The following is a 27,687-nucleotide window of genomic DNA, read 5'->3' as shown; positions in this document are numbered from 1 at the left end:
ATATCCATCATAAGACACATCATTCTTTTATGTACCACCAAGAAACAAAAAATATCCTGGCAGATAAACTATGTCATCAATTTTAAGATGCATACTGTTTTCAGAGTTAAGTTTGAAACTCTATTAATTTAGCTTTTGTATTTAGAATTTAATGTACAATGAGTTTTGTTGACATTTCTTTTTTCTTTACTTTGTACACAGAGAGACTCTTCAGAACACTTCATTTGCTTAGGCTTTTCCAGCCTCAGTTTTCTTAATTTAAGGAACAGTTCCATCTATAAAGATTGATATAAGAATCTGCTGAGATGTTGCATGTGAATTGAGTGTTGTGGTTCTTGTTTTTGTGACCATTGTTGTGAATAATAATGTAGACCATATAGTGTAGTGTTAGGAGAACTGACTTTGGAATTAAACTGAGTAAAGTTGAATCCTAGCTCTGAAATTTTTAGCTGACGAATTGTAACCTCTATGAGTTTCATGTGTAAAATGGGTGATGATGAGTGGGAGGAGGAAATAATAGCTATCATTTATATAATGCCTGTTTCAGTCACTGTCCCAAGCACATTGTAAGTATTAACTCATTTAATCTTCACAACAACCCTGTGAGATTATACTTATTTTACACATGAAGAAACTGAAGCAAAGAGAGATTACTAACTTGCCCAAGGTCATAGAGGTCGTTTGTGATTGAAAACCAGACAATTTGTCTCTAGAATCCAGGCCCTGTGCTCCAACGTCTTCTCAGAAATAACCAACTTTATGGGGTTTGTTGTGAAAATTAAATCAGGCAATAAAGTACTTCACACATAGTGAATGCTCAGAAAATGTCAGCAATTATCATCATCTCCCCCTTGCTAGGGAAAAGTTGATAAAATGTAACTTCTAAGAGAGTCCTTAACCTCTCTGGTCTTGGTTTTCTCCTCTATTTAGTGGCAGTTAGAGATGTGACCTCTTTGACTTCTAACTCAATGAGTTTGTGAAATCAGTCTGTCCTCAGTGTGGAGAAGCTTACATTAGACTAGTGATTTTTATGTTTTCAGCTGGGAGTGAGTTGCCACCCTTCCCCCACCCCACCCATCCCTAGAGATGTTTGGTAACGTCTGGAGATACTTTTGTGTGTCATCATGGGATGGGAATGGAAAGGGATTGCTACTAGCATCTAGCGGGTTAAGGCCAGGGATGCTGCTAAACATCCTACAATGCACAGACCCCCCACAACAAAAAAATTATCCAGCCCAAGCAGTACTTGAAATAATGGAAAGAATATTAGGCTAGGCATTGGAGAGTTGGACTGGAATCTAGACTCTGCCATTCGTTAGCAGTGTGAACTTCGGTTTATCTAAGTCTCAAATTTCTTCTTTGGGAAGAGTCATCTGTAAATAGATATAAGCGCATTATGTGTAAATAAAAGGCATAGGATAATATTGATTGAGTTGTTAATCCTAGTCCAGTTGATTTAGTAAAGATTATTTCTGGAGATCTTTACAAATGGAATACTGTCTTAACTGTGAGTATATCTTGAATGTGATCTTGACTAATCCATATAAACCAGATGTCTTCTACTTTGGCCATTGTGTTCCAGAAAGTAACTGATTTCTTTTTCTGTTACATCTTCTTTAAGTGCTCCTAGTCTTTACAGGTATTAATAAACAGTGAAATGACTGAGAGTAACAGGAAAAAACAAGAAATACTCCTTGAAGAATTTTGATTTGTAGTCTGTATATCATTAGTAGCTGTGCTGTCCCACACACTGAAGGAAGCCTCAGAAGTACTTATTTGCTGAATAGCAATATTACGATCGTATAACAAGCATTTTTTTTATCTGTGTTCCTTCAGTAATATTATTATATGTATTTTTTAATTTAAGTAAACTCAGAACAAGATTTTAAATTTTTTATTAAATACTTAAGTCTTGGGATAATCTGAAATCTTAACAGAAGGCCACAGTGAAACAACCACTGGCAGTATTGAAAAGCATATAATATTTTTAGGAAAAGAGTCCAAGATGATGCTTCAGAGGAATAGTTTTTAAACCACTGGGGAACAGGAGTAGAGAGAAAGGATTCCAACGTGAGTTGACAGGATTCTATCCTTATTTATTTTCTGTGTTTGTTTTACCTGCTATACTTCAAATAAAGTTTTCATTAAAATTTTTTTCCTACTAAAATGGCTTTTAGGAATTGTACTTTGATTTTTTTTAAGTCAGTTAATCAAAATATATCAAAGGGCTCCTGTAAAGCATCACTTGAGCTTAAGCAACTAGGTGACAAAAATTTTATTCAATTAGCAAAATATTTTTCTTTATTAACAGAAACAGATATGCAGTATGCAGCAAAAGTATACCGTGATGATCGACTCCGAAGGAAGGCAGATGCCTTGAGCATGGACAACTGTAAAGAATTAGAGCGGCTTACCAGTCTTTATAAAGGAGGATGAACTGGAATTTTTATTTATACCTTTTAGCGTACTCTTTATTTTTTCTGTAAGTAAGTTTGGTTTCATCATGAGGGATGAAGGAAAAGATTTGATACTGAAAACTAAACTGAATAGTTGGTTCCTGAAATCTTGGACTGTTTATGACCTACTGGCTCCTTTAAATAGTAACTGAAAACTAAAATGGAATATTTTAGTTAACGCTTCTACAAGTATTTTCATTTTAAAAGCTTACATGATTCCTAACTAAAGTGTCATGAGAAAGGATTATCACACCTGTAGCAATTTCCAGTTTTAGTGATTCTCCATTTTTTCCCTTGTCATGTAAATATTTATGGAATGATCATTTTGTGTACATACAGGTTACTGCTTTTTTATTTAAATTCTTTTAGTGTTTAGCTCCATGAGACACTTCAGTTTAAATTGATGGAATAAATGTTATATGACACATTTACATTTTCCTTATCAAGGTGTCAAATATGTGGACTTTAAACAATGAAACTTTTTCAAAAAGAAAAAACAAAAACTTTAACTTTGTGTAAAATCTTATAGTATTATCAGCTTAGAGGGAATTGATATTTTTAATATTGCCGTTATATTCCAAAATATATATTGAGATAAATGAACTGGTGTAGAATATCAGTTTGCTATTTAGTTTTATGAATTACTATACATATACATGCATAGAAATGAAATGCTATACTGATAAATTTTAAAGAAAATATGAGGAAATGGCTATAAATATTAAACTAAAAGGGTCTTCAACAGTAAAGTGCAGTTATGTCATTTAAAATTCCAATACTTTAAAGGCCACCAAATTTTGATGTATATGTCCTTGAAGGGCTGCTAAAATTTATGAAGAGGACTCACATTTTCCCCCATAGAAATTTGCAGTTTCTTGGTGATCATTTAAGCAGGATCCAAAGAAGTTCCTTTACAAATAAGTAATAAGAAAAATGAGTACTAAAATACAGCTTTGTGCCTTTTAACCCTATGCCAACTCCTAAACATATAAGTAGATTACAGTATACTTATCTGATCAGAGCATGATCTGTTTGGCCACATGCAAGTGTGAGCAGAAATAGAGCAGCACGTAGAATAGTAACTTAAAGCAAGTCATCCTTTAAAAATTCTGAGCTAAAATCTATTTACCATTGAGTAATTGAATTAATCCCATAGGAATAAGCTCCTTGTAAGTAAATCCATGATATGAATTAGAAAAAAAAAACAGCTGGAAATTGAAGTTTTTGATGCCTGTATACTGGATATGAAACTATTTGATTTCTAGTCTTCTGTGTTTAGCAGTTGTAATATTTTAATGATTTTGCTTCATACTCGGTTAATGGAACATAAACATATCTTTGATACTTCTTTGTGAGTGAGAGAATGCTAGATAGGGTGGCTTTGTTCTTTGTTTAAGTTTTTTTTCCTGAATGTAGTTAATTTATGGCATCTGTTGAATAAAACTGCTAAAATGACCTCTTAAAAATGTTCTGTTGTATCCCCTTTTCCAGGTGAATCAATAGAAATGCCTGATTGAATTAGTAGGTTAAACTAAACAACATACTGTCATAGGAAAACTGGAGAGCTTAACCAACTTGCTCTTAGAAATGTTACCTTAAAAAAAAAAAAAAAGCAGTGCTTAAGAGAAAATACAATTTTAATTATTTTGTTGAGCCTGCAGAGTAAGTTTTTAAAAATATAAGTTCATAGCATTTTAATTAACTTTGAAAGTTCATATGCATCAGAAAATTTATGAAAATTTGAATGAAAAAAATTTCATCTATTTATTTTTCTAATTTTAATGGCAAATTTACACTATTATGGCTGATAATTCTGTGAACTTACCTTCTTGTTGACTGATTCTTTTTCCCTTAATCCCAGCTTTAAGGAGATAGGTGAAGTTATTGTACAAAGTTAAGTGATACCATAAAGTATATATTATAAAGTCATACATGGCTTTTGGACAGTATTATATTTCAGTTGCAGTGCTGCATTCCATTAAATTTCATAAAATGCTAGGGAAAATGTGTTTGATAAAATTTTCTGCAGTGAGAAATGACAGACTGAGTGCCTGACAATTTAAGCCACATATGAAGTATGCAAGTAAAGATTCAGTCCTTAATGTCATCTATATCATGGTATAAAAGCTCAACAAGTATCTTATAATTTGGAGTTAACTTTATAAAGTAAGAAGAGTTTGGATATCTTGATAAAAGATTTTCATGTTTGCTGCTTTTTTTATAATAAAAATCCCAACATTTTGCCATCTTATGTTTAGCTACATGAACTTCGCAATTTCATCGGCTCATTCTAATGACCACCTAAAAGTCCTCAATCTTTGAATATTGCTTTATTAGCTCCTCTAACTGGTATTCTAACAGTTTAGCAGCACTTATATTTATTAATGCTTTACATTTTTACCCCTTTTTGTGTAAACACAAATACACCCATGCATATACACACAAACATTATTGTCCTTGTGAGGGTTTGGGGGAAATGAAAAATAGTACCTTTCTCCTCTTCTTTTGATTCCTTAGTTCCCAAATAGACTGGTGCTAGTCATTTAGTCATCTGTAAATTTCGAAATGTAGTTTGATTAAATGTGAACTGAATTCTCAGCAATGAAAAATGTCAAGTTGAATTCATCTAATAAGTGAAAATAATATATTTTGTAAACAGATTACATTTGAACACCTAAATAAGTATTTGTTTCATAATCATTACATGCTTGTTTATGATTTACAAAGATTTGGTAGAGAAAAGTACAGTCCTTAAGGCATATATATGCCAATGCATTAAACTACTCAGCTTTTGTGCCAGCTCAGGTGTTCATAGGAACAGGAATGTGGAATACCAGCTTTTTACTTTAATTATACTTTTATGCTGAATTTTTCTTCCAGTTAAACCTTTAATTACACTAGTATGTAAAGTAGTTACTGAGAAAAATAAGTTTTTGATTTCCCTTCTGTTGATCTGTAACATTTTTAAATGAAGCTATTTAACACATGACATGCTAATGTTACTTAATGGATTCCTATGTATTTCATTAAAAAAAAGTCTCCCACCTGTGTTAAGACAGCTAAATATTTCTTGATGTTGGCTTGAGGACCAAGTGAGCCATCTTGCCAGTTAAGCAAGTTTTATATCAGAGGACCAAATGGTTAAGAAGAGAATTTGTACATTTCTTGAGCTTCCCCATGTGAAGCTTGGGTTCAGTACTATCCTATTACTATCCATCTTCATAATGAGTGAAGCAAACTGAAAGGGAATTCATAATCTTTTTTCTTATCTGAACAGAAAAACTAATGAAAATCAACAATAAATCTTTATTTTAATTTTCATTCAACAGCTGAAAAACCATGTCTGTTGACCACATTGGACCATTGCCTAGTTAAAATCCATAAAATTCCCTATAAACCAATGAAAAGAAACTTGTCTGGCAATAATTTCCAACATTTTAAATTCTAATTTTTAGTTACAAAGAAAAAGGATAGAATGAGGCTTTTCAAGGAATTCTTGCTCATCCCTTCAATTATTTGGCAGGTAAAACAGTCCTAGAATTCAGCTTCCTTTTTGGTTTTATTACTATTAAATAGATACTTTCATATAAATGGAAACACTTTTCCTCAAAACATTAATTCAAAACATACTCCTTATATTAAGGATTATAGCACCATATTTTTTGTATATTCCCTATGTGTAACTTTTTCCTGTTGGTATGTGATATTTTTCATTTAATATGACTATCTGCTGGTGTTGGGGCCAATAGATTTGTGAATATTCTGTGGATGTGTCTATGTATAGGTGTATATATATATATATATATTTTTTTTTTTTTTTCCCAGCTAATTACCTCAAATGTGTGATTGTTTAATATATACCACACTATGTTTGCACAGAGCAGGGCTTCCATTAGCAGTGGATATTTTTATGTCTGACTTTGAAAATCAGTCAACACAATTTCATTGGTGTGAATTATTTGTTGCTCTTTTTCATATTTTAATGGAGAGATTCCTATTATAAGGCCCATGCTTCAAACATAATTATATCTTTCTATATCCAGCCATCTGGAAATACATAGGGGTAAGAAGTATTTCTTGAAATGTCCTTGTTTAGTAAGTTAGTAAAAACTGGGATGACTAGTTGCCAAGATGTCTTGTAACTGCATAGCAGATGACACCTGGCATGGCAAGTCTCATTCACTTCAGCACAACACTCTGTACATTTCAGTCTGATATTCTACTTTGCCATTTAAGGACACCATTAAAATCATAGAGATTTTCAGTGACATTGGAGTATTGTAATTATTACTTTCAAAAAATTATTTTTAATAGGATGATTAAACCAATGAGAAGAAACACACATAAATGATATTTTGCAGTTTATCTGTATTAAGAAATGCTTCTTGCCAATTTCTAGTTTTAGTTTTTGGATTGCTACATAAGACTTTCTTTCCATTTACTTTATGTGTTTTTAAAAGCTGCAGGTAATTTTTAAGGTTTGATGGAATTATAATGGAAGCCTTGTATAAGTTAAATGAAATTGGTAAAGGAGAGCTTACTTTGTCTATAATGCATTCAGGATTAAAAATTAGATTTCAAAATGAAATGTCTGATTTGTAAAATATTTAATGTTATATCAGACTTACATAAAATTTTCTGTGAGAACTCAAATGCATTTGATTTTTAATGAATGTTCTGAATGAAATATGAATTTTTGTCTTTCAGTCTCTGTAGTTTATCTCAATATATTAATAAAAAGGTCTGTTCTCACTGTAAAATGTTTGTTTTTATCATGTTTTATACTCAATATGGCCACTCTTTCATTCATTCAACTATTCAACAAGTATGTCAATGCTTGCTATATCCCAGGCAGTGAGCTGGGTGCTGGGAATTAATCACTGAATAAGAAAGACAAAAACCTTAAAGAGTTTACATCTAGCAAAGAAAATAAATATCAAGTAAATAATTATAATTATGATAAATTCTACAAAGAAAATTACAGGGTACAATGAAAGCATTTATCTAGAAGACCTAAACTATTCAGTGAGGGTCAGGGAAGGCTTCTCTGAGAGTGAGTTTAAGCCAAAATGCAAAAGATGAGATTAGTAGGATTAAGGTATGCTAGAGAAATATCTCAGGCAGAACGTGCTAAGTTGGTAAAGTGATAAAAATCTTTATGGAAGTGAAAACAAACTTGTATGATCATAGCATAAGGAATCCAGGGTAGGTGAGAGAATTAAGATAGGGGCCAGATCCCCATAAGAATGATATATAAACCATGATGCTGATATTGAACTTTATCCTAAGTCAATAAACTTGATTTTCAAGGAAGGAGTTAAATGATGTGATTTGGGTCTTTAGAACATCATTTTTGTTGCTGTGTGGAGACTGGAGGGCAAAAGAGAATGTAAGAAGAATAGGAGGTTGTTGTCAAAAGAGAGATGATCATGGCTTGGAGTAGGGTAGGAATATAGATAGGTGAATAGTTTTCAAAGATAGGAGGTAGAATCAACAGAACTCTGATTAGATTTGTGACATATGGAAGCAGCAATTGAAAACCAGGCTAAAGTTTTCTGAAAATTTGGCTATGAAAGGGAGTAGAGGAAAAACAGTGTGGTAGCTGAAAGAGGATGCGATTTCTAAAGAAGCTTTTCTTTTGAGGGTCTCGCTCTGTCACACAAGCTGGAGTTCAGTGGGGCGATCACCACTCGATGCAGCCTCAAACCCTGGGCTCAAGGGATCCTCCTGCCTCAGCCTCCCGAGTACCTGGTGCACGCCACGTTCGGATAATTCTTAATTATTATTATTATTTGTAGAGATGGGGTCCTATCTTGCCAGGCTGCTGTGGAACTCCTGGGCTCAAAGGATCGTCCCGCCTCGGACTCCCAAAGTGCTGCGACTACAGGCGTCAGCCACCGCACCCGGAAAGCCTTTTATTTTTTTCAATTATTATTTATTACATGAGACCTTACTAATTTTTAAAAATTCTGATGTAAAAGGGAACATAGAAGGTGCCCGTAATCAGTGTCTGCATGTTAAAAGTAGACGCTTGAAGTGCTCCAGAAAACCCATGGCTCCTCCCCATTCAATCTAGGTAAGGCCTTCAGTAAAGAGCACCCATGGGGAAGTCACAAGAGCCTAGGAAACAGGTCAGAAACCTGTGGACCTGGTACTTCCAATCACAGGCAATCTGGTGCTTGCTCTTCAGCTCATCACACCATCCCCTCAAATTTCTTCATCTACAAGAAAAGGTTTTAAGATAACAGACCCTGCAAAACTAATGACATTTATACACCCTCTCTGCACAAGAATGTCTTGTAACACATAACCTTGCTTGCATTTTCTGGGTTCCTTAGGGTCCAGCGATCTCGTACAAATCTACCCCACAGCTGACTTCCTTCGGCCCGTGACACAAGGCGCAGGCGCAAGACGCGGCCCGCGGTGGGCGGGGGAGGGGCGGGGCGCGTGCGGGGCGGGGGGGAGGGGAGGGGCGCGGCCGCCGGACGCGCCCTCGCAGCTTCCGCCGGGCCCCTCCGGAAATCCCGTATCGTAGGGCGACGGCGGCTTAGAAAGTGCTTCCTGGAGCGCAGACGAGGTCATGAATCATGTGACGGTGGCTTGAGGAGGAACCTGTCTTTAAAGCTGTCCCTGAAGTGACAGCGGAGAGAACCAGGCAGCCCAGAAACCCCAGGTAACTGGCGCTACTTTGCCTGGTTTTGAGGCCTAGTCCCGCAGGTGGCGCGGGTGGTGAGATTAAACAGAAGGAGAGGACCCTCTCTTCTTTTCTTTGGGCCTAGCTCTTTGGGGTGGAGGGGCAGGGATGGGGTGGGCTGAGGTAAGGTGTGCCAGCTGAGTACCTGTGGGGGTGCTGGGGCACTCCGACTCCCACTGGGCTCGCTGGGCCAAGCCCTAGAACCGCGGGGGTTTTACCTGGTTCTGACCAGGGCTGATCTCGCGTATTAAGTTGTGGGTGGGGAGGACGAGGAAGCCAAAGAGGGAAGAGTCACCGGGAGTTTCTCTTCCAGGCGTGGAGATTGATCCTGCGAGAGAAGGGGGTTCATCATGGCGGATGTGAGTGACACCCCTACATAAGAGGAAGGGGAGAGTGGGGAATTTTGAGGGGCATACTGAGCGGGGAGAGGTAGAACTTCCCAAACAGAAATTTGTTTTGATCCTCCCAGCCCCACCCATCCCAGTTAATTATTTTCTCTGATATCTGAAGTGGGAGACTAATATGAATGAATTTGCAGGATCCTGAGTTTCTGCCTCGAATGGGGGTGTAGGACACTAAGGTGCTTGAGACTGAGAAAATTAGGTTCTCCCTACTCCCCAGTCCAGCTGGGGCATAAGAGAGGCTCTGTATATTTACCATTTGAAATTCTGAATGATGGTTTGCTGCTTTTCCTGTCAGAATTTGGTCAGTAGGACATGTACCCACAATACTTTTTTCCAGTAAGTGATAACAATATCTCATTTGGTTTATTGTAGCAATTTACGATGATTTCTAACCCATGCCTCTTTAGAAACATGGTAACGTGTGTGTGTGTGTGTGTAGGAGGATAAAATGATCAGTCGGGTTTGGAGAATAGTAAGTGCTGGATGCTCAAAACAAGAGATACCTGATTAATCCATGTGAGGTCAAAATTGATACCTAAATTGTCAGTGAAATTCCTGGGATAAGAGAGTGTAATGAGACAAAATAAGATAGTCTTCTGGCCAATGCGGTTGCTTAGTCTGTAATCTCAGCACTTTGGGAGGCCGAGATGGAAGGATCACTTGAGGCCGGGAGTTCAAGATCAGCCTGGGCAACATAGCAAGACCCCGTTCTACAAAAAGAAATTTAAAAATCAGCCAGGCGCATTGATACCTCTGTAGTCACAGCTATGCTGGAAGTGAGGCGAGACGATTGCTTGAGCCCAGAAGTTGGAAGTTGCAGTGAGCCCCAGCTTAGAAAAATAAAATAGTCTTCTACTTCTTTAGTCTTAACTGTGTTTCGTGTTAAACACTTGACACACATTGTCATTTATTTTATATTCTGTAACACTGGGCTGGGCGCGGTGGCTCACGTCTGTAATCCCAGCACTTTGGGAGGCCAAGGCGGGTGGATCACCTGAGGTCAGGAGTTCGAGACCAGCCTGGCCAACATGGTAAAACGTTGTCTTTTCTAAAAATACAAAAAATTAGCTGGGCATGGTGGCAGGTGCTTGTAATCCCAGCTACTCGGGAGGTTGAGGCAGGAGAATCGTTTGAACCTGGGAGGCAGAGGTCGCAGTGAGCCGAGATCGCGCCATTGCACTCCAGCCTGGACAACAAGAGCGAAACTCCGTCTCAAAAAAAAAAAAAAATGTTGCCTCACATAGTCATATAGAATTTATTTTAGGTCCTTAAACAAAATATTTTAAAAATTACGTTATAATAATATGCCTTACACTGTTTCATTATTTGTTGAGTAGGTGAGTTCAACAAATAATGAAACAATGGAAGGCATATTTTTATAATGTGATAGTCACGTGAGACAACAGTCTTACAGAGGTCATATCACCTTACCCAAGACCATTAAGATGATGGTGGAAAGTCTATCTTTGAACATGGAAAGGTGTTTATAACGTCTTCTCAAGTGAACACAATAGCAACAGGATGTAAAACACTAGTATGAAAATTATGATGTAATTTTATGGCTAAAATGTGTTTCCCATTTCTAGGTATGCTAATCCATGCATCTTCTCAATAAACTTTTAACAACACTTTTATGATGTAGGTTCTATATTAGCCCTATTCAACAAATAATGAAATAAGCTTAGCGAAAAAAGGTTGGTTAACTTACTCCAAGTTGCGTGACTAGTAAACATCCAAATCAGACAGAGAAAGATAAAACACAGCAAGAAAGGTTATGAATGATAACTGAAGTTCCTTAAAATTTGGATAGGACAGGATCTAGAAAACAGTGGAAGGCCTATTATTACAACATTATTTTTTAATGCTCTCTTTCAGGACCTAAAGCGATTCTTGTATAAAAAGTTACCAAGGTAAGAAATTTTTAATTTGTTATTGAATAAATTCTATATGCCATATGTTAATTTTATGAAGCATTTTGTCTGTATTTTCCATGTTGTGAAGTATCTCTGAGATTTCCTTTAATATGAATATTTTTTGCCAGCCTCACGTCCTCTGGAAAATTTTCGTCACAACCGCTTTCCTCATTTATGTCAATAAGTTTGCCTTCACTGAGTTCTCTGTGTATCTAGAGCGATAGTGTCAGCATTCCCTTGGTCATCTGTTTCTTCTATAATTCTTTACTTTCTATTTGAAATTCAGCATTTCTATTTGAAATTTCAGCATTATTACTTTTCATTTCTTTGCTGTATTTCGTCTTTGTTGGCCAGTTTCCTCTTTTTATTATCTCTTTTTCTAAATGTCACATACTTTATCATTGGGAGACAAGGAGGTACAAAACTACATGCTTTGCTATCTCTGCATGAGCTGCATAACAGATGCACAGTGACCAACCATCAACATACTTTGAAAGAAATGATGTGGCTGGTTACTGATGACAGTGTGCATCTGTTAATTACATAATTATTTATGTAGTGATTTGTGGACTAAAGAGTTAGAAAAGTTTATACTTTACGTAGTTATTGAGGTATTATGCCATGCTAACTAAAATTTGACCTGTGCTCTTCTGCAGGGAGTGGTATTACTTAACCATAGTAACTAAAATGTGCATATTGGAACTATGCAAAATGAGGGCTTTCTGTGTTTTTCTGTAGTTACCTTAGCGTAATGAAAGGGCGCTCAAATTGGGACGGAGAGATACCCCACTACGCTGGTGATATGATGAAATAGTTAATAGTACATAGTTAATTCACTTAGAAGTCTTAGTGATTTACAGTCCTCTTTTGAGTGTTAGCATCTCTTATTGAAGAAACAGCAAAATTGCATTCAATGTTCTTAAGTTATAAACCGACCAGAAAGATACTCATTAGTCACCTGGAGATCTAATAAAGCAATAATTGATTCTAATTACATCATCTGTGATTATAAGCAATAAAAATGTTTCAGACAATGGGGATCTCATTTTAACTATTAAGTGTGCTCTCAAAATCATAATAGCGTGTGACACTGGATATGATGAAGCTGTCTGTGTAAAGGAATTAGAGAATAATACCAAAAGTATTTATTATATTACTGAGTAGTTCTAATGTTGATCAAAAATAGTTGGAAAGTAAATGCTTGCTTCTTCTTTGAATTTAGATGTCTCTTATCTTTTAACAAAAGGGGAAATATCAGGTTGTTGTGCTTATCCAAGAAATAAATTCAGTTAAAGGATATTTGTTAAAAGCTTTATGAAAATCTTTCATAATGGCAGGAAAGGTATTAGTACTGTCAGTTTTTTTTTTAATAATGAAAAAAAGCCAGTTCAACTCATTATATCATTTATTGAAAATAGGCTTATTGCATCCCAGAACAGTAATAATGAAGAAATAATAATGTTTTGAACATTTATGAAGAATAGTAGAATATACGCTTTGATTTGTTGCTAGATGTATGGGTTTGGATGCAGGCATCCTGCTTCAGAGCCATGGATTCATGCTTTTAACTGTTGTACCTCAGTGCCTCTCAGTAACAAAGTCAGCCAGCTACGGATACTAATGGAATGTGTGTTTTTGTGCGTTTTTTGAATTCTCTGCAAAATATCGTTCTTGTATTTGCAATTTAAAATCTGGTTGTGACCCAAAGCAGTCTCAGGCTTTAATAATCCCACTTTGTATGTTTTAAAACAACCAAATATTTCATAATTATGTGTATAAAACTAAATCCGATGTCTTTGATTAGTAATGCAACATTTGTTTTTAGAAAAAAATGGTTGTTTTAGTAAGCTTAAGGTTTAGATTTCTTCAGAATATTTCACAAAATTTAATTCATTTCTTCTAAAAGTGTAGTATCTCTTAATGAGCCAGTTATTTTTAATTATTAGTAAATTCTATTTATATTACTCTTTGCGCATTGTATGTAGAATTGAAAACAGCTTTTATATTTGTGACCTGATTTCTAAAATTATATACTTAAGAGTGTAAGTAATTTTTCTACTTTCTTGATTCATTTCTCTGTGAAGTCCATCAAAAAGAAAGTCCTTTTATTTTCTTTGGAGCATTAGTTGTATTTAAAGTAATTTCCATGGAAATTTAAAAAAAGAAGCTACCTGTGGTGGCACTAATTTTTCTAAACATTTTTGTGGTCCTCTTTTTACCTGCTTTTTAATTTATTTTGGGGGTAAGTAGTACATTCACAGAGTTCAGATTCAAGACTTAACTGAAGAACATAGAGTGAGAAGCTGCCCATCCTTCCTCTCCAGCCACATGCACAGTTTCCCCTCAAAGAGGCACCCACCATTACCTACAGAGATATTTTATGTACCTATGAGCAGACATGTATATACACGTATTTATACACACAACATACACATATGCCTGCATATTTTGGTACATAATTTATTGCTTCTTCTATACACTGTTCTAAACTGTGTATTTTTTCACTTAAGAATGTAACTTTGAGAGTAATCTTTCCTGGTACATAGAGAACTTCCTCTTTCTCATGGCTGCAGAGTATTCCAGAGTATTCCTTTGTAGGTGTATATCATAACTTACCTTGTCCTTCTTGATGGACAGTTGGATTTGTAATGCTTTACTGTTTCAAATGATGTTGCTTTTGGTAACTGCACAAAATAATTGGCTTATGTACAAATATCTGTAGTATATGTTTTATATAACCTAGTTTTTAACTTAGAAGAATATATTTATTTTATGTATTAATCTTTTTGTTGTTGTTGTTGAGACAGACTCTCGTTCTGTCACCCAGGCTGGGAGTGCAGTGGCGCAATCTTGGCTCACTGCAACCCAGGTTCAATCGATTCTTATGCCTCAGTCTCCCAAGTAGCTGGGATTACAGACAAGCACCACCACACCCAGCTAATTTTTGTGTTTTTGGCTGAGACGGGGTTTCATCATGTTGGCCAGGCTGGTCTCAAACTCCTGACCTCAGGTGATCTGCCCACCTTGGCCTCCCAAATTGCTGGGATTACAGGCGTCAGCCACTGTGCCCGGCCTATGTTATGTATTAATCTTAGAGATATATTTTAATCTATAAATAAGTTTAGGATTGAATGATTAGGAAATCATGCCAATAATAGGATAAAAATAGTATAAAAGTCATTTATAAAGTTATTTTATTCTTATTTTTAATGTAAGGAAGACAAATGATTTTGTTTGTAACATTTTCCATTCATATTTAATAACACTTTTCTGACTTAAAAGTTTTTGACAATGGGATTTTAAAAAATTTAATGTCAGTATTTAAACATTAGGTTAATATAAGTATTTCTTATTCCTTAGTTAATACATTAAAGTTAACACAAAGAATAGATCATTCCGGGTTGCTGTAGGGACATTGAACATATCTCTGAGTTGTAGTTTATAGATACCATAAGATAGTTACAGGACTATAAGATTTATGTTAACAATGAAAGGGTTTTGCATAAATGTTGAAAGTCGAGGAGTGTCACCTTATATTTTTTAACACAGTATATTTGTGCTCTACCATATGTTTCTTAATTGCTAATTTCCCAGGGATTCTCACTGATAACTTAGTACTTTAGTGATAAATTATGTCATTGTCAGTGTGCACAATTGACACCACTGGTATTAGTTAATAAGTGATATTTTTGAATTATGTGCCAGCCTACACTTTACATGCCTTGTATTATTAAATTTCACAGTATCTAAGTAAGTACAGTTATTCCCATTTTCAAATTGTTAATCTGAGGCTTGTAAAGGTTTCATAACTAGCCCAAGATAGCATAAATAATAAGTGGCAGAGCCTGGACTGGAACCCAGATCTTTCTAACTTTAGAGCTATAGCTTGACCGTTCTGCTTACTACTTCTTACGTAAGCATGGCTGAAAGGATTACTGCATAGCCTGCATTCCTTTTGCCCTGTTTCTTCAGCCAGGAACAGTTTTTCCACGTCTTTTCACTTAGTGCCATAACGTCTCAGCTGATGTATTACTGCCTCCAGGAAAGCCTTCTCTGGCCCACTGTCTGTCTGCATCAGCCTCCTCTTTTCTAGGTTCTCATATCCCTATGAACTTTTTAACAACACTTGCCACCAGTTTTAGTTTTACGTTTGTTATTGTGAGATTATTTTATTGGTAACACATTCACTTTTTACATTGGAAGCCATGTGAAGGCAATGATTGTGCTTATTTCTGTTTTTCATAGTATCAAAGTATTAAGTGCCACAAATACTGGCCGCTTAATATTTGCATGAATGAAAAAGGAAAAAGGCTGTTTTTTGTCACTATAGCCCCTGCTGATAATCTTTCATGCTTTTGTGTACCATGGACTGATCATTCATTAGTAGTTTTAATGGAGAGTTATCTATGTCTTAGATTCTTATTAATAAACTGCATGAACTTGTAAATATTATAAACATTTCTATAATACACATTGATTCAATTTCTGGGAGAATTTTGGGGTCTGTGGTTTTTCAGAAAATACATGAGAATTATTATGTCTTTGAGGTGCATAGTTTGAGAAAATGAAATATTTTATATTTTAACTTTTTAAAATTTTATATTTTAACTTTTTTTATATTTTAACTATTTTCTTTTTCTAGTGTTGAAGGGCTCCATGCCATTGTTGTGTCAGATAGAGATGGAGTACCTGTTATTAAAGGTAAAACTGAACATTTAAATGCAAATGTCTTCTTTGCTTTTGACTAAAAATGTGTGTAATTTACATCTGAGTAGTACAGCAGGCAAACATAAAATTCATTTTAGTAAATTTGGGAGATGGTCTTAGTATTGGGGAAAGTGTTTGCTTTTGTATGTTGAAGGTTGAATTTGAATCTACAATGTATTATATATCACATGTATCATATTAACATCTAGAGTTTAAGCATGGATTTATCACAGACCCATTTCCCATTAAAGACATTTACAGTGTAACGTAAACCATTAGTAAATCTAAGTGATGAGAGTGAGCATGTATTCAGCTAGATATACACACAGACACCCCTACTATATATATATGTGTGTGTGTATATATATACATACCACACACACATTTTATCAAATTGCTAGTTGTTTTAGGATAATACCCATGTATTTGGATCATAAGTAAACATGATGTCACAGAGAGTCAGTATGGATTCAGACAATTTTTACTATTTCTATATTATGGTATTATGAGAATGGATGTTCCTAGTTTTATTGGGACACTATAGTGGCTTTATCAAAGATTAAAGATTGGATAATGTTCTGTATATTTTGTTTACAATTTTCCACCTGGAGTTGTCATATATATCAGATAATTTTAGACTTTAGAAATGAAAGGAGGTTTAGAAGTCAACTAATGTAGTTCTTTCATTTTATAAGTGAAGGTGATAAAGTGCAAAGACACTTGGACTTCTTAGCAGTTTTAATGGAGAGTTAGCTATGTCTTAGATTCTTATTAATAAACTGCATGAATTTGTAAAGATTATAAACATTTCTGTAATACACATTGATTCCATTTCTGGGAGAATTTTGGCAAACACATTATAAGAACAAAGGAGGTCCTGTGGTTTATAATCTTCGGACATTGCCGTCCAAAGTCGGACATGAGTCAGTAACAAAACAGTAATAGAACCCATAATCTCCTGATGTGTGGTCCAGTGTGCTTTCTAACCCACTATAAAATGGCTGTTGAATGGCTGTGGACAGATTGCTTGCCTTCTCTTAATTCCGTAATGAGGGATTTGAACAAAATAATCTCAGATTTTCCAGCTCTAATATTCTTCATGAGGATCTCTGTGTTAAAGCCTTGAGCCCTGCACTCATTAATATAACAAACTCCATGCAAACCTTTTAATGAGTGAGAGAAACATGAAACAGGTAACCAGCTGCAGATTGTTAATATCTATGAGAGATACTGCTGCTGTGGGTTTTATAAGAGCAGAAGTTTTGTAACTTTTTTCATTAGTTTATTCTAGCCTAGTCCTCAGATAACCAGTTAAATGTACTTGATTAATCTGTTTTAAGTTAGATATCAAGAAAATGTAAACATTTAGTTTTCTTTTTAAAATTTAAAAAAATTGTGAGAGTCAGCATTTTTTCTCTTACTTGTGATCAGTGAACTTTTGATTGAGCAGTTTTTCCTGATTAGTGATGAGACCCCATTAGTGATATGATTTTCAATATTGTGAAACATAACCTTTGTGTTCAATTTTAAAAAGAGGTTTATGAAAAAAAAGGGCTGTAAATCTCTCTACCATATCCTCTGCATAATTTTTATTTAAATCACTTATTTTTCTAGTGGCAAATGACAATGCTCCAGAGCATGCTTTGCGACCTGGTTTCTTATCCACTTTTGCCCTTGCAACAGACCAAGGAAGCAAACTTGGACTTTCCAAAAATAAAAGTATCATCTGTTACTATAACACCTACCAGGTAAGTTCATAATTATAAAATGATTTGCTGATTTCAGTTGTCATTTTTGTGCCTTTTATATATATAAAATAGTTTGTGTTATAGTTCTCAATTTTAGTTTTGAAGAGGATGAAATTGTAAAATTTTAGCCTTCAAATTGGTTGTATTAAAATGTAGTAATTTTCTTCACATTTCATACCAGGAAATAATTACTATGGAAAAGTAATTAAGTGATTTAATAAAGTACATGTTATCCTAAAAAGAGTATGTCAGGTCACTGTTACCTCCAGTAGATGGTGCCGTTAGCTAAACAACTGTGATTTCTCAGCTGACACACTTTTTTTGTTGTAGTAACAGATAAAAAAAACTTTCCTTGAAAGTTTATTAAATTTGCTCTTGCTGCTAATTCCTTCATTTTTTGGAAATATATATATGTAATAAATGAGATTATTATTTGTGGGAAAGAAGTTAGTTTTTAGTTTTTGCATGTCTCTTGATCTCAAGCTACATTTTCTTAAGACTAAATTAATTCCTTGTGCTTTAGAGCGATGTTTCCTAATCAATTGATGTAAGTTACTCTTTTTTTTTTTTTCTTCCAAGACAGAGTCTGGCTCTGTTGCCCCATGCTGGAGTGCAGTGGCATGATCTCAGCTCACTGCAGCCTCCGCCTCTCAGGTTCAAGTGATTCTCACGCCTCAGCCTCCCAAGTAGCTGGGATTACAGGCATGTGCCACCAGGCCTGGCTAATTTTTGTATTTTTGGTAGAGACGGACTTTCACCATGTTGGCCAGGCTGGTCTTGAACTCTTGGCCTCAAGTGATCCATCCACCTCAGCCTCCCAGAGTGCTGGGATTACAGATGTGAGCCACCGTGCCAGGCCCATCTTTTATTTTAAAAGTTATATATTTTAATGTGTATTAAGTAAAAGATAACCAAACCATCTGACCTTTAATTTCATCAATAAGGATTAGGTTTAAACTAAGTTTTCTTTTTTTTTGAAGGTAGTTGATTTAAAGTTACTTTAAATTTAATTTAAATTACAGTAATACACAAGAACCAGAAAATATCATGAAGATAAAACTACTTGAATAACTGAGAAATACTGCATTTATCCATTTAATTATCAACTATTTATTAAGTCCTTACAATGTAATTGATATTCTGTTGGGCTTTAGAGATAAAAAGATGAAGATATGGTTTCACCTTAAAAACTTTCCAGGCCAAATGGTATTAATGTCTCTAAGAGATCATCACTAATTCTGTTTTATGGAAATATTCACTGAAATATAAAGTTCCTTTCTGTTTCATAATATAATACCATAATGTTGGGCTAAAACATTGATGATTTTAAAGTTTTTGAAAGATTAAGACATTTCAGTTTAGTTATACTACCTTTTCATAATGCAACATATTATTTGGCTCTTATTTTCTTTTTAGGTGGTTCAATTTAATCGTTTACCTTTGGTGGTGAGTTTCATAGCCAGCAGCAGTGCCAATACAGGTGTGTTTAATGACCTTAAATATCACTTTAATCCTTAATTTTAAAAAATTAATTTAATTACCATACCTTAATTTAAGAGGAATAGTAGATTTAGAGCCAAAAATCTTGAACTTGTGGCCCAGTTTCACTGTCTTTTTTCCATGTCTTGGGAAAAGTGATTTCTCTGAATCCTGGTTTCCATATCTGTATAATGGAGATAATATATGCTTTCTCCATCTTACAATGTTATTTTCTAGTTCAAATGAGACAGTGTATGGGTAAGTGATTTTTTTTTTTTTTTTTTGGAGACAGGAAAATTAAATGTTATCTGAGTGCTACATCTTGCTCCCATTACAGCAGTTTAAGAAAACAAGGTGAAGATAACCCAACAAAACGCATTAAAATGATCGATGAGTTACAGACCAATCTATTAAATTAGAATTTTTTAAATTTTACCTAATGGGGAAAATGAATGTGATTGAGAATTTAAAGAGCATGAATAGGATGAACATAGTCTCACTCTTCTTGAGAACTGAAGAATTTGAGAACAAATGCTAGGAAGCTGTACCCTTTATAGAGAATAGTAAAATTCCATTGTATCCAATACCTTCACTGGATATTTATGTGTAAAATAATGACTATTCACTTGGTTGTAATTTTTTTACTTCATTTTATATAAAGTAGGATTTTTATTAAAAGGTCTGTCTCCTTTAGATTTGATTGCTGTTGAGAATTGTAATATATTTTTTTCTATTTGTTTTTTCTTCCAAACTGAGCAAGTTCTTCTAGCTATGTCACTGAAGCCTGTTCTTAGATACCTCATCTTTAGAATGAGAGGTTTAGATTTGATGATCTATTAGATCTCTTCCATTTCAAAACATTTTAGGAATCTGTAAAATACTGTATGTAAAAACACTTTCTGAATTATATAGGATAGTAATGGTGTTAAGATTTTAAGTATATTTAGGAAATATACTAAATCTGAGTTTTGATAAATCACCTATCATCACATACTAAGTCACCAGTTGTTATATACTATGATAATGTACAGAACAATATTTTAGTACTTGGACCCTTTCCTTGAGAGTTCAGATGCTTTTTATATTCTATAAGACAGAGAAAGATCTTTATTTGTTTGAACATAAAACAGGCTCTGTTTGAGGCAGATAGCCTTTCACTCTAGTAAACTAAGGAGAAGCAAGATATGCTTATTTCTAGATGTTTATCTCCCAGGTTCATCATTGAACTCCAGTGTGTTTTGTACTCTACCATTTATTTTTAAAATATTTTTTCATTTGAAATATTTATTTATGTCTTAGCTTTGTCAAATTTATAAAAATAAATTTCTGATTTTCTTTGTTCAATATAGAAGCACCTATCTTTTGATATAATCTGTTAAAATTTGCTTAGAGACAAAAGTATGCTTTATTTAGTAAAAATCATATGTATTATTTCTGAGTCAAGGCAAATTTTGAAGCAGTAAGGTATAAATTAAGATTTTCCTTTCAAAACTCTTAACAAATTATAGTGCATATAATTTATTCTGTATTTCCTAATATATAAGTATTTTTCACTCATTCACTTTAGTAATAGATGCTGAAAATAAACTTATTAATGACTACAAAGTTTTTGGTTGCTTTATTTAGGGTTATAGTACAGGTTGAACATCCCTAATCCAAAAATTTGAAATCCAAAACATTCTAAAGTCTGAAACTTTCTGAGCACTAATATGGCATTCAAAGAAAATGCTCACTGGAGCATTTCATATTTGAGATTTTTGGGTTAGGGATGCTCAAATAGTAAGTATTGTACAAATATTCCAGAATTCAAAACACTTCTGATACCCAGCATTTTGGATAAGGGATATTCAACCTGTATTTTGTTTCAGTCATGGGAAATAAACTATGTTCTGATTTACTTTTGGTAACTATGTATTTTGGACATAAGGAAATCTGAGTTTCAGGCTTTGAGGAACATTTTTCTAACATGTAATTTTCTTAATCTCTTTATTTTAGGACTAATTGTCAGCCTAGAAAAGGAACTTGCTCCATTGTTTGAAGAACTGAGACAAGTTGTGGAAGTTTCTTAATCTGACAGTGGTTTCAGTGTGTACCTTATCTTCATTATAACAACACAATATCAATCCAGCAATCTTTAGACTACAATAATACTTTTATCCATGTGCTCAAGAAAGGGCCCCTTTTTCCAACTTATACTAAAGAGCTAGCATATAGATGTAATTTATAGATAGATCAGTTGCTATATTTTCTGGTGTAGGGTCTTTCTTATTTAGTGAGATCTAGGGATACCACAGAAATGGTTCAGTCTATCACAGCTCCCATGGAGTTAGTCTGGTCACCAGATATGGATGAGAGATTCTATTCAGTGGATCAGAATCAAACTGGTACATTGATCCACTTGAGCCGTTAAGTGCTGCCAATTGTACAATATGCCCAGGCTTGCAGAATAAAGCCAACTTTTTATTGTGAATAATAATAAGGACATATTTTTCTTCAGATTATGTTTTATTTCTTTGCATTGAGTGAGGAACATAAAATGGCTTGGTAAAAGTAATAAAATCAGTACAATCACTAACTTTCCTTTGTACATATTATTTTGCAGTATAGATGAATATTACTAATCAGTTTGATTATTCTCAGAGGGTGCTGCTCTTTAATGAAAATGAAAATTATAGCTAATGTTTTTTCCTCAAACTCTGCTTTCTGTAACCAATCAGTGTTTTAATGTTTGTGTGTTCTTCATAAAATTTAAATACAATTCGTTATTCTGTTTCCAATGTTAGTATGTATGTAAACATGATAGTACAGCCATTTTTTTCATATGTGAGTAAAAATAAAATAGTATTTTTAAAAATATAGTTTGAGCACTGTATAGGTCCTTTTTTTGTTCAGACTTTTTCCAAAAATCTAAACATAATTAATATACTCTTTCAGCCACATGAATAAATAATGAGTGTTTCTTGTAGGTATTGGTTTGGAGATTGTTTTACGGTAGTATGAACTGTTAACTGGAAAAGAAACCTGAGATTGCAGTCAGCCAAGATTGTGCCACTGCACCCCAGCCTGGGCAACAGAGACTCCGTCTCAAAAACAAAAAAGAAAAGAAACCAAGAAACCTCAGGCATGAACCTAATTTAATCTCCATGAAAGAGGTACTACAGTTCTAGAATATACCCTTTATGTTCAGGAATGCAGTCTATCATTCAGAGTTAATTTCTTTCTAGGCTCTTTGACAATCAGTTTTTCCCTGGATCAGTTCAGTACATATGCATTGAGCACCTGTGTGCCAGTCAGCCGAGCTATCACATTGCACAATTCTAAGAAGCACCATTCATGTCTCATCATATTTCTATGCTCTGGGAGTTGCCTTTCACATAGAATATGTGTGATTGTTATCCCTAGAATTGTGCAGTGAGGCAATTGGCTAGGTGCTGTGCTGCTTTTTCTTTCTTTCTTTTTTTTTTTAAGAGACAGAGTCTTGCTGTGTTGCCCAGTCTGGAGTGCAGTGGTGGCATGATCTTGCCTCACTGTAACCTCTGCCTCCTGGGTTCAAGCTGTTCTCATGCCCCATTCTCCCTTGTAGCTGGGATTACAGGCTTACACCATCGCACTTGGCAAATTTGTGTATTTTTAGTAGAGACAGGAATTCACCATGTTGGCCAGGCTGGTCTTGAACTCCTGACTTAAAGTGATCCACCTGCTTTGGCCTCCCAAAATGCTAGGATTATAGGTGTGAGCCACTGCACCGGGCCATGTGCTACTTTTTCTTCCTTCCATCCTTCCTCCCTTCTTCAGTGTAAATATGAGATTAATTTGTGATACCTTACTTTAAAGAACTTAGAGTTCAGTAAAGGAAGCAGGTATAGAAAGTGCTATGATAAAGCTATACATAGGATGGTATAGAACCACAGACTAGGGGCACTTAAAATGGGCAAGAAAATAGCCTTTGTAAATAAAATAGAGGCAAGAGATATAATGCTTTACCTGCAAAGAGCTATAAATACAGCCATGTACCATATAATGATGTTTCAGTTAGTGAAGGACCACATACGAGGGTGGTCAGAACAGCAGGCTATACCATATAGCCTAGGTGTGTAGTAGGCTATACCATATAGCCTAGGTGTGTAGTAGTAGGCTATACCATATAGCCTAGGTGTGTAGTAGTAGGCGATACCATATAGCCTAGGTGTGTAGTAGTAGGCTATACCATATAGCCTAGGTGTATAGTAGTAGGCTATACCATATAGCCTAGGTGTGTAGTAGGCTATACCATATAGCCTAGGTATGTAGTAGTAGGCTATACCATATAGCCTAGGTGTGTAGTAGTAGGCTATACCATCTGGGGTTCCTGTCAGTACAGTATGATGTTCACATAATGATGAAATCACCTAACAAAGCATGTCTCGAAATGTATCCACATTGTTACGTAACACATGACTGTAGTTAATTGTTACAATTGAAATACTAGATGTACTCATTGAAATCCAGAATTCCCATTATCTGGATTATTTAATATCGTTCAGGAAATTTTTGCCAGTGCAATGGTGCATGAAACAATGTCTTTTAGAAATGAGGTGGCCAGATTTCTATTTGCAGATAATAATTGTATATCTAAAAATCCTAGAAAAAGAAATGATAACAAATGGAGCTACTTAACCTTTACATGTTGAATGCTGCCACTGTTAAAATTTCTGAGGGGGTATAATAGATAAACTATCCCATAGTTCATCTGGAAAAATAAGGTGGTGAAAATTGCTAAGAAATTTTTGAAAGGGTAATGTAAACCTAGATTAACTGTTTTTGAAAGGTAGTACAGAACTGAATGCACAACTAGATATCAATGGTATGTACTCACCCAGAAAAAAGACTTCAGTACATACATGTGAGGGCTTAAAACATTGTTATAAAGACGGGATCACAATGGGAAAAGGATTATTCAATAAGTAGGGCAGGCATTCTCTATGCCTGCTAGGGAAGTGTGACTTGTTATACTCTTTATGTACAGCAATTGGCAGTCTGTGAAACTTTTAAATTCATATACATAACCTTTTGCCCTGCAATTCCACTTCTAGAAATTTATCCTACCAAACAAAGCACATAGATGTGCAAAAGTATGTATTTACAAGTATATTCTTTGCAACTTGGTAATGTCAAAGAATTGGAAGCAACCTAAATATCTGCCATAGGTAGGATAACCATATGCTTTGGCTTTTTGAACACTACCAGTTTATACCTGCTGTTCTTGGATAATTATTAATAGTGCTTTCATTCTCAATGTCTCACTTTAGATAATAAATTACAGAGGATTGGTGAAACTAATTTGCCCAATGGAAAAAGGAATGAAGAAGTGCTTTAGGTACTGAGATGAAAAGATCTCTAAGGCATAATAATGTTTATTGAGAAAAGCATGGTGTCAAACTGTATGGCATGCTACAATTGATGTATAAGAAGAAAAAATGTGTATGTATTCCTATTTGTTTGTATATGGTAGACTGTCTCTGAAGACATATATGGAAGAACCTGATCACATTGGTAGTCTCCAAGGAGCAGAACTAGATACCTGGGGGATAAGGATCCCAGGAGTGAGCCTTTTCATTGTAAACTTCATTGTACTTTGAGTTTTTAACTGTTCAAAAATAATAAAATTAGAAATAAAATATTTCAACAAACAATAAAATGGGATATTTGGGGAAGAAAGTTGTCTCAGGGCTCTCCAAAGAAGCAGAACCGGTTGGACATATGTGTATTTATTTCAAGGAAATGGCTTATACTATTGCGGGGACTGGCAAGTCTAACATCTGTTGGACGGGCCAGAAGACTGAAAAGTCTCAGGTAGGAGCTGAGGCTGCAGTTTCAGAGCAGAAGTTCGTCCTCTTGGAAACTTCAGTTTTGCTCTTAAAGCCTTTCAGTTGATTGGATGAGTCTCACCCACATTATGGAGGATTATCTCTTTTACTTAAATTTAAGGGATTATAAATGTTAAGTACATCTCCAGAATACATCCACAGCAGTACCTGGATTCATGTTTTAATAACTAGGCAATGTGTCCTAGCCAAGTTGATGCATAAAACTAACGTTCACAGTCCATTCCTAGTCAGCTTGGCACCTGTATGCATCTTTTTTGTTGTTTTTTGTTTTGTGAGACAGAGTCTCACTCTGTCACTTAGGCTTGAGTGCTGTGGCCTGATCTCAGCTCACTGCAACCTCTGCCTCCTGGGTTAAAGCGAGTCTCCTGCCTCAGCCTCCTGAGTAGCTGGGATTGCAGATGTGCACCACCACGCCTGGCTAATTTTTGTATTTTTAGTAGAGACGGGGTTTTGCCATGTTGGCCAGGCTGATCTCAAACTCCCGACCTCAGGTGATCCGCCTGCCTTGGCCTCCCAAAGTGCTGGGATTACAGGCATGAGCCACCGCACCTGGCCTGTATGCATCTTAAACCATATTTTAGTCTCCAAATAAAGACTAGGTTGTACTTCTAACATGTACAACGACAAATATTTCCTGGAGGAGGTTTCCTCAGAAGAGGATGCAATCCATTCCCCAAAGGAGGATGCAAAGTCCTTTGGTGATCACTTTTTTCCTTGCTATCCTGTACCTTAATACTGTGATGTAAGGATACCACTGTTAATATGTCTTATATTAGCTAAGAGGATAAAGGAGGGGGGAAAAGATTTGTTCAGTATATATGTGTGTATGTGTAATATATACATATTTGTATACATAAATAGACAATCACAATTCTTATTTTGGCAATTGGACATGTGATTGTATCTGGTATTTTTAACTACCTTTCATTGCCTATTCCATATTTCCTTGCACTCAGCAAGCAACTTGGCTATTTGTGGTTCTGCCTGGTGAGGTATTCCAAACCTTCATTCCTGAAGAATCTGAGCCATTCGTTGTCCTGCCTGTAATAGGTTTTAAAGTTTTCCACTGACTTTAATCAGGGCTTGGTAAAACAGATCTGGTGGATCTCCTGTATTTCAGACATACCCTTCTTTATTTCCTTGTGCAGTAGCAGCCCTGTTTCCCCGGGCAATCAGGACTAGTTACCCTAGTCAGTACAGTAATTCTCTTCTTTATGTGTTGAGTCAGAGGCATGAGGAGTGCGAAGTGGCAGAGTGGCAATCTTACTTAATGTCCAGTTTAATAGAATCATTGTGTCTCCTGGTTGAGGTATTACTGGTTTTGGAACAAAGTCTTCTAGACCTAAAGAGCATAGGAACTTGGGGACAGAAAACAAAAATTGTGGTAGTGGACAAGGGGTGATAGTGAGTGGCATGGCTCCCATTTCCACCCCTTTATTGCTGGATCTGTGAATCCTGGCTATGGAAGGAAGAACACCATATATTGGATGCTGATTTTACAACATATATAGCCTCCTGGAGAACATTTCCCCACCCCTGCAAGATATCACCACCTACCTAGTGCTGTAACTGAGTTTTCAAAAGGCTAGTCTACCATTTTATCAAGCCAGCTGCTCCAGGATGGTGGGGAACATGGTAAGACCAATGAATTACATGAGCAATATAGAAAACAATGTTGCCTCCAAAATCCAAAGATGCTTGTTAGGTATGTACTGTTTTTTTGTTTTGTTTTGTTTGTCAGAGGGCCAGATGCAACAAGTTATTCTTTACCTTAGAAGAGATACTTGACAGGCCCCACACCACCGGACCCCTAGAAATTTTGGTAAATTGGAAGGCACTTGAATTTTTGTCATATTTATTTCCCACTCTCTGAGACAAATGTCTTACCAATATGTCTAGGGTATTTGCTACTTCTTGTTGACTAGGTCCAATCAGCGTAATGTCATCAATGTAATGGACCAGTGTGATGTCTTGTGGAAGGGAAATGTGATCAAAGACCCTGTGGAAAAATTATGACATAGGGCCAGAGAGCTGATATACCCTTGGGGTAGGACAGTAAAGGTATGTTGTTGGCTTTACCAGCTGAAAGCATACAGCTGTTGGTGGGGCTTATGGACAGATATGGAGAAAAAGGCATTTGCCAGATCAGTAGCTGCATACCAGGTGCCAGGGGATGTGTTAATTTGCTTAAGCAATGAAATCACATCTGGAAAAGCAGCTGCAACTGGAGTCACCACATGAGTAAGTTTGTGATAATCTACTCATTCTCCAAGACCTATCTTTTTCTGCATAGGTCAAATAGGTGGGCTGAATGGAGATGCAGTGGAATCACCACCACTGCATCCATCAAGTCCTTGATGGTGGCACTAACCTCTAAGTCCCTCTGGGAATGTGGGATTGCTTTTGGTTTATATCTTCC

General features: G+C 35.4%; 2 protein-coding genes across 7 annotated transcripts in view, besides 1 other annotated feature; both read left to right on the top strand.

Moving 5' to 3' along the window:
• The window catches only part of DNAJB14 (DnaJ heat shock protein family (Hsp40) member B14), a 50,371-nt gene extending 43,155 nt beyond the window's left edge, over positions 1-7,216 (top strand). For all 4 annotated transcript variants that reach the window (NM_001278310.2, NM_001031723.4, XM_047416185.1 and 1 more), the window contains one exon: positions 2,312-7,216. In NM_001278310.2, the coding sequence (NP_001265239.1) occupies positions 2,312-2,436 (125 nt within the window). In that variant the 3' untranslated portion in view covers positions 2,437-7,216. The remainder of the gene's footprint in view (positions 1-2,311) is intronic.
• Positions 8,849-8,938: a silencer, noted in NCBI's record as "silent region_15583". NCBI's record gives its function as "represses an Ori minimal core promoter by ATAC-STARR-seq in GM12878 lymphoblastoid cells {active_cell/tissue: GM12878}" and the evidence as "EXISTENCE:reporter gene assay evidence [ECO:0000049][PMID:35858748]".
• LAMTOR3 (late endosomal/lysosomal adaptor, MAPK and MTOR activator 3) lies at positions 8,918-25,128 on the top strand. 3 transcript variants are annotated; one of them, NM_001243736.1, is made up of 7 exons: positions 8,918-9,129; positions 9,464-9,509; positions 11,430-11,464; positions 16,110-16,168; positions 17,810-17,922; positions 19,339-19,402; positions 21,397-25,126. In NM_001243736.1, the coding sequence occupies exons 2-7, from the start codon at positions 9,501-9,503 to the stop codon at positions 21,468-21,470; spliced, it is 354 nt and encodes a 117-aa protein (NP_001230665.1). In that variant the 5' UTR covers positions 8,918-9,129; positions 9,464-9,500; the 3' UTR covers positions 21,471-25,126. The 3 variants fall into 3 exon arrangements, 2 of the variants coding, with proteins under 2 accessions (NP_001230665.1, NP_068805.1); NM_021970.4 differs by having other exon boundaries at positions 9,037-9,129; positions 17,789-17,922; positions 21,397-25,128; NR_024170.1 differs by lacking the exon at positions 9,464-9,509 and having other exon boundaries at positions 17,789-17,922.
• The last annotated feature ends 2,559 nt before the right edge of the window (positions 25,129-27,687 follow it).

The sequence above is a fragment of the Homo sapiens genome, chromosome 4, assembly GCF_000001405.40.
Source record: "Homo sapiens chromosome 4, GRCh38.p14 Primary Assembly".
NCBI classification, from domain to species: Eukaryota; Metazoa; Chordata; class Mammalia; order Primates; family Hominidae; genus Homo; species Homo sapiens.
The sequence above is the reverse complement of the archived record's forward strand: the minus strand, read 5'-3'. Positions and strand labels throughout refer to the sequence as shown.

What these genes read in the sequence shown, in the direction of transcription:
- LAMTOR3 (NM_021970.4), top strand. An exon ending in TGGAGTACCTGTTATTAAAG is followed by an intron (nt 16,169 to 17,788) that starts GTAAAACTGAAC and finishes TTATTTTTCTAG; the next exon opens with TGGCAAATGACAATGCTCCA. An exon ending in GTTACTATAACACCTACCAG is followed by an intron (nt 17,923 to 19,338) that starts GTAAGTTCATAA and finishes TTTTCTTTTTAG; the next exon opens with GTGGTTCAATTTAATCGTTT.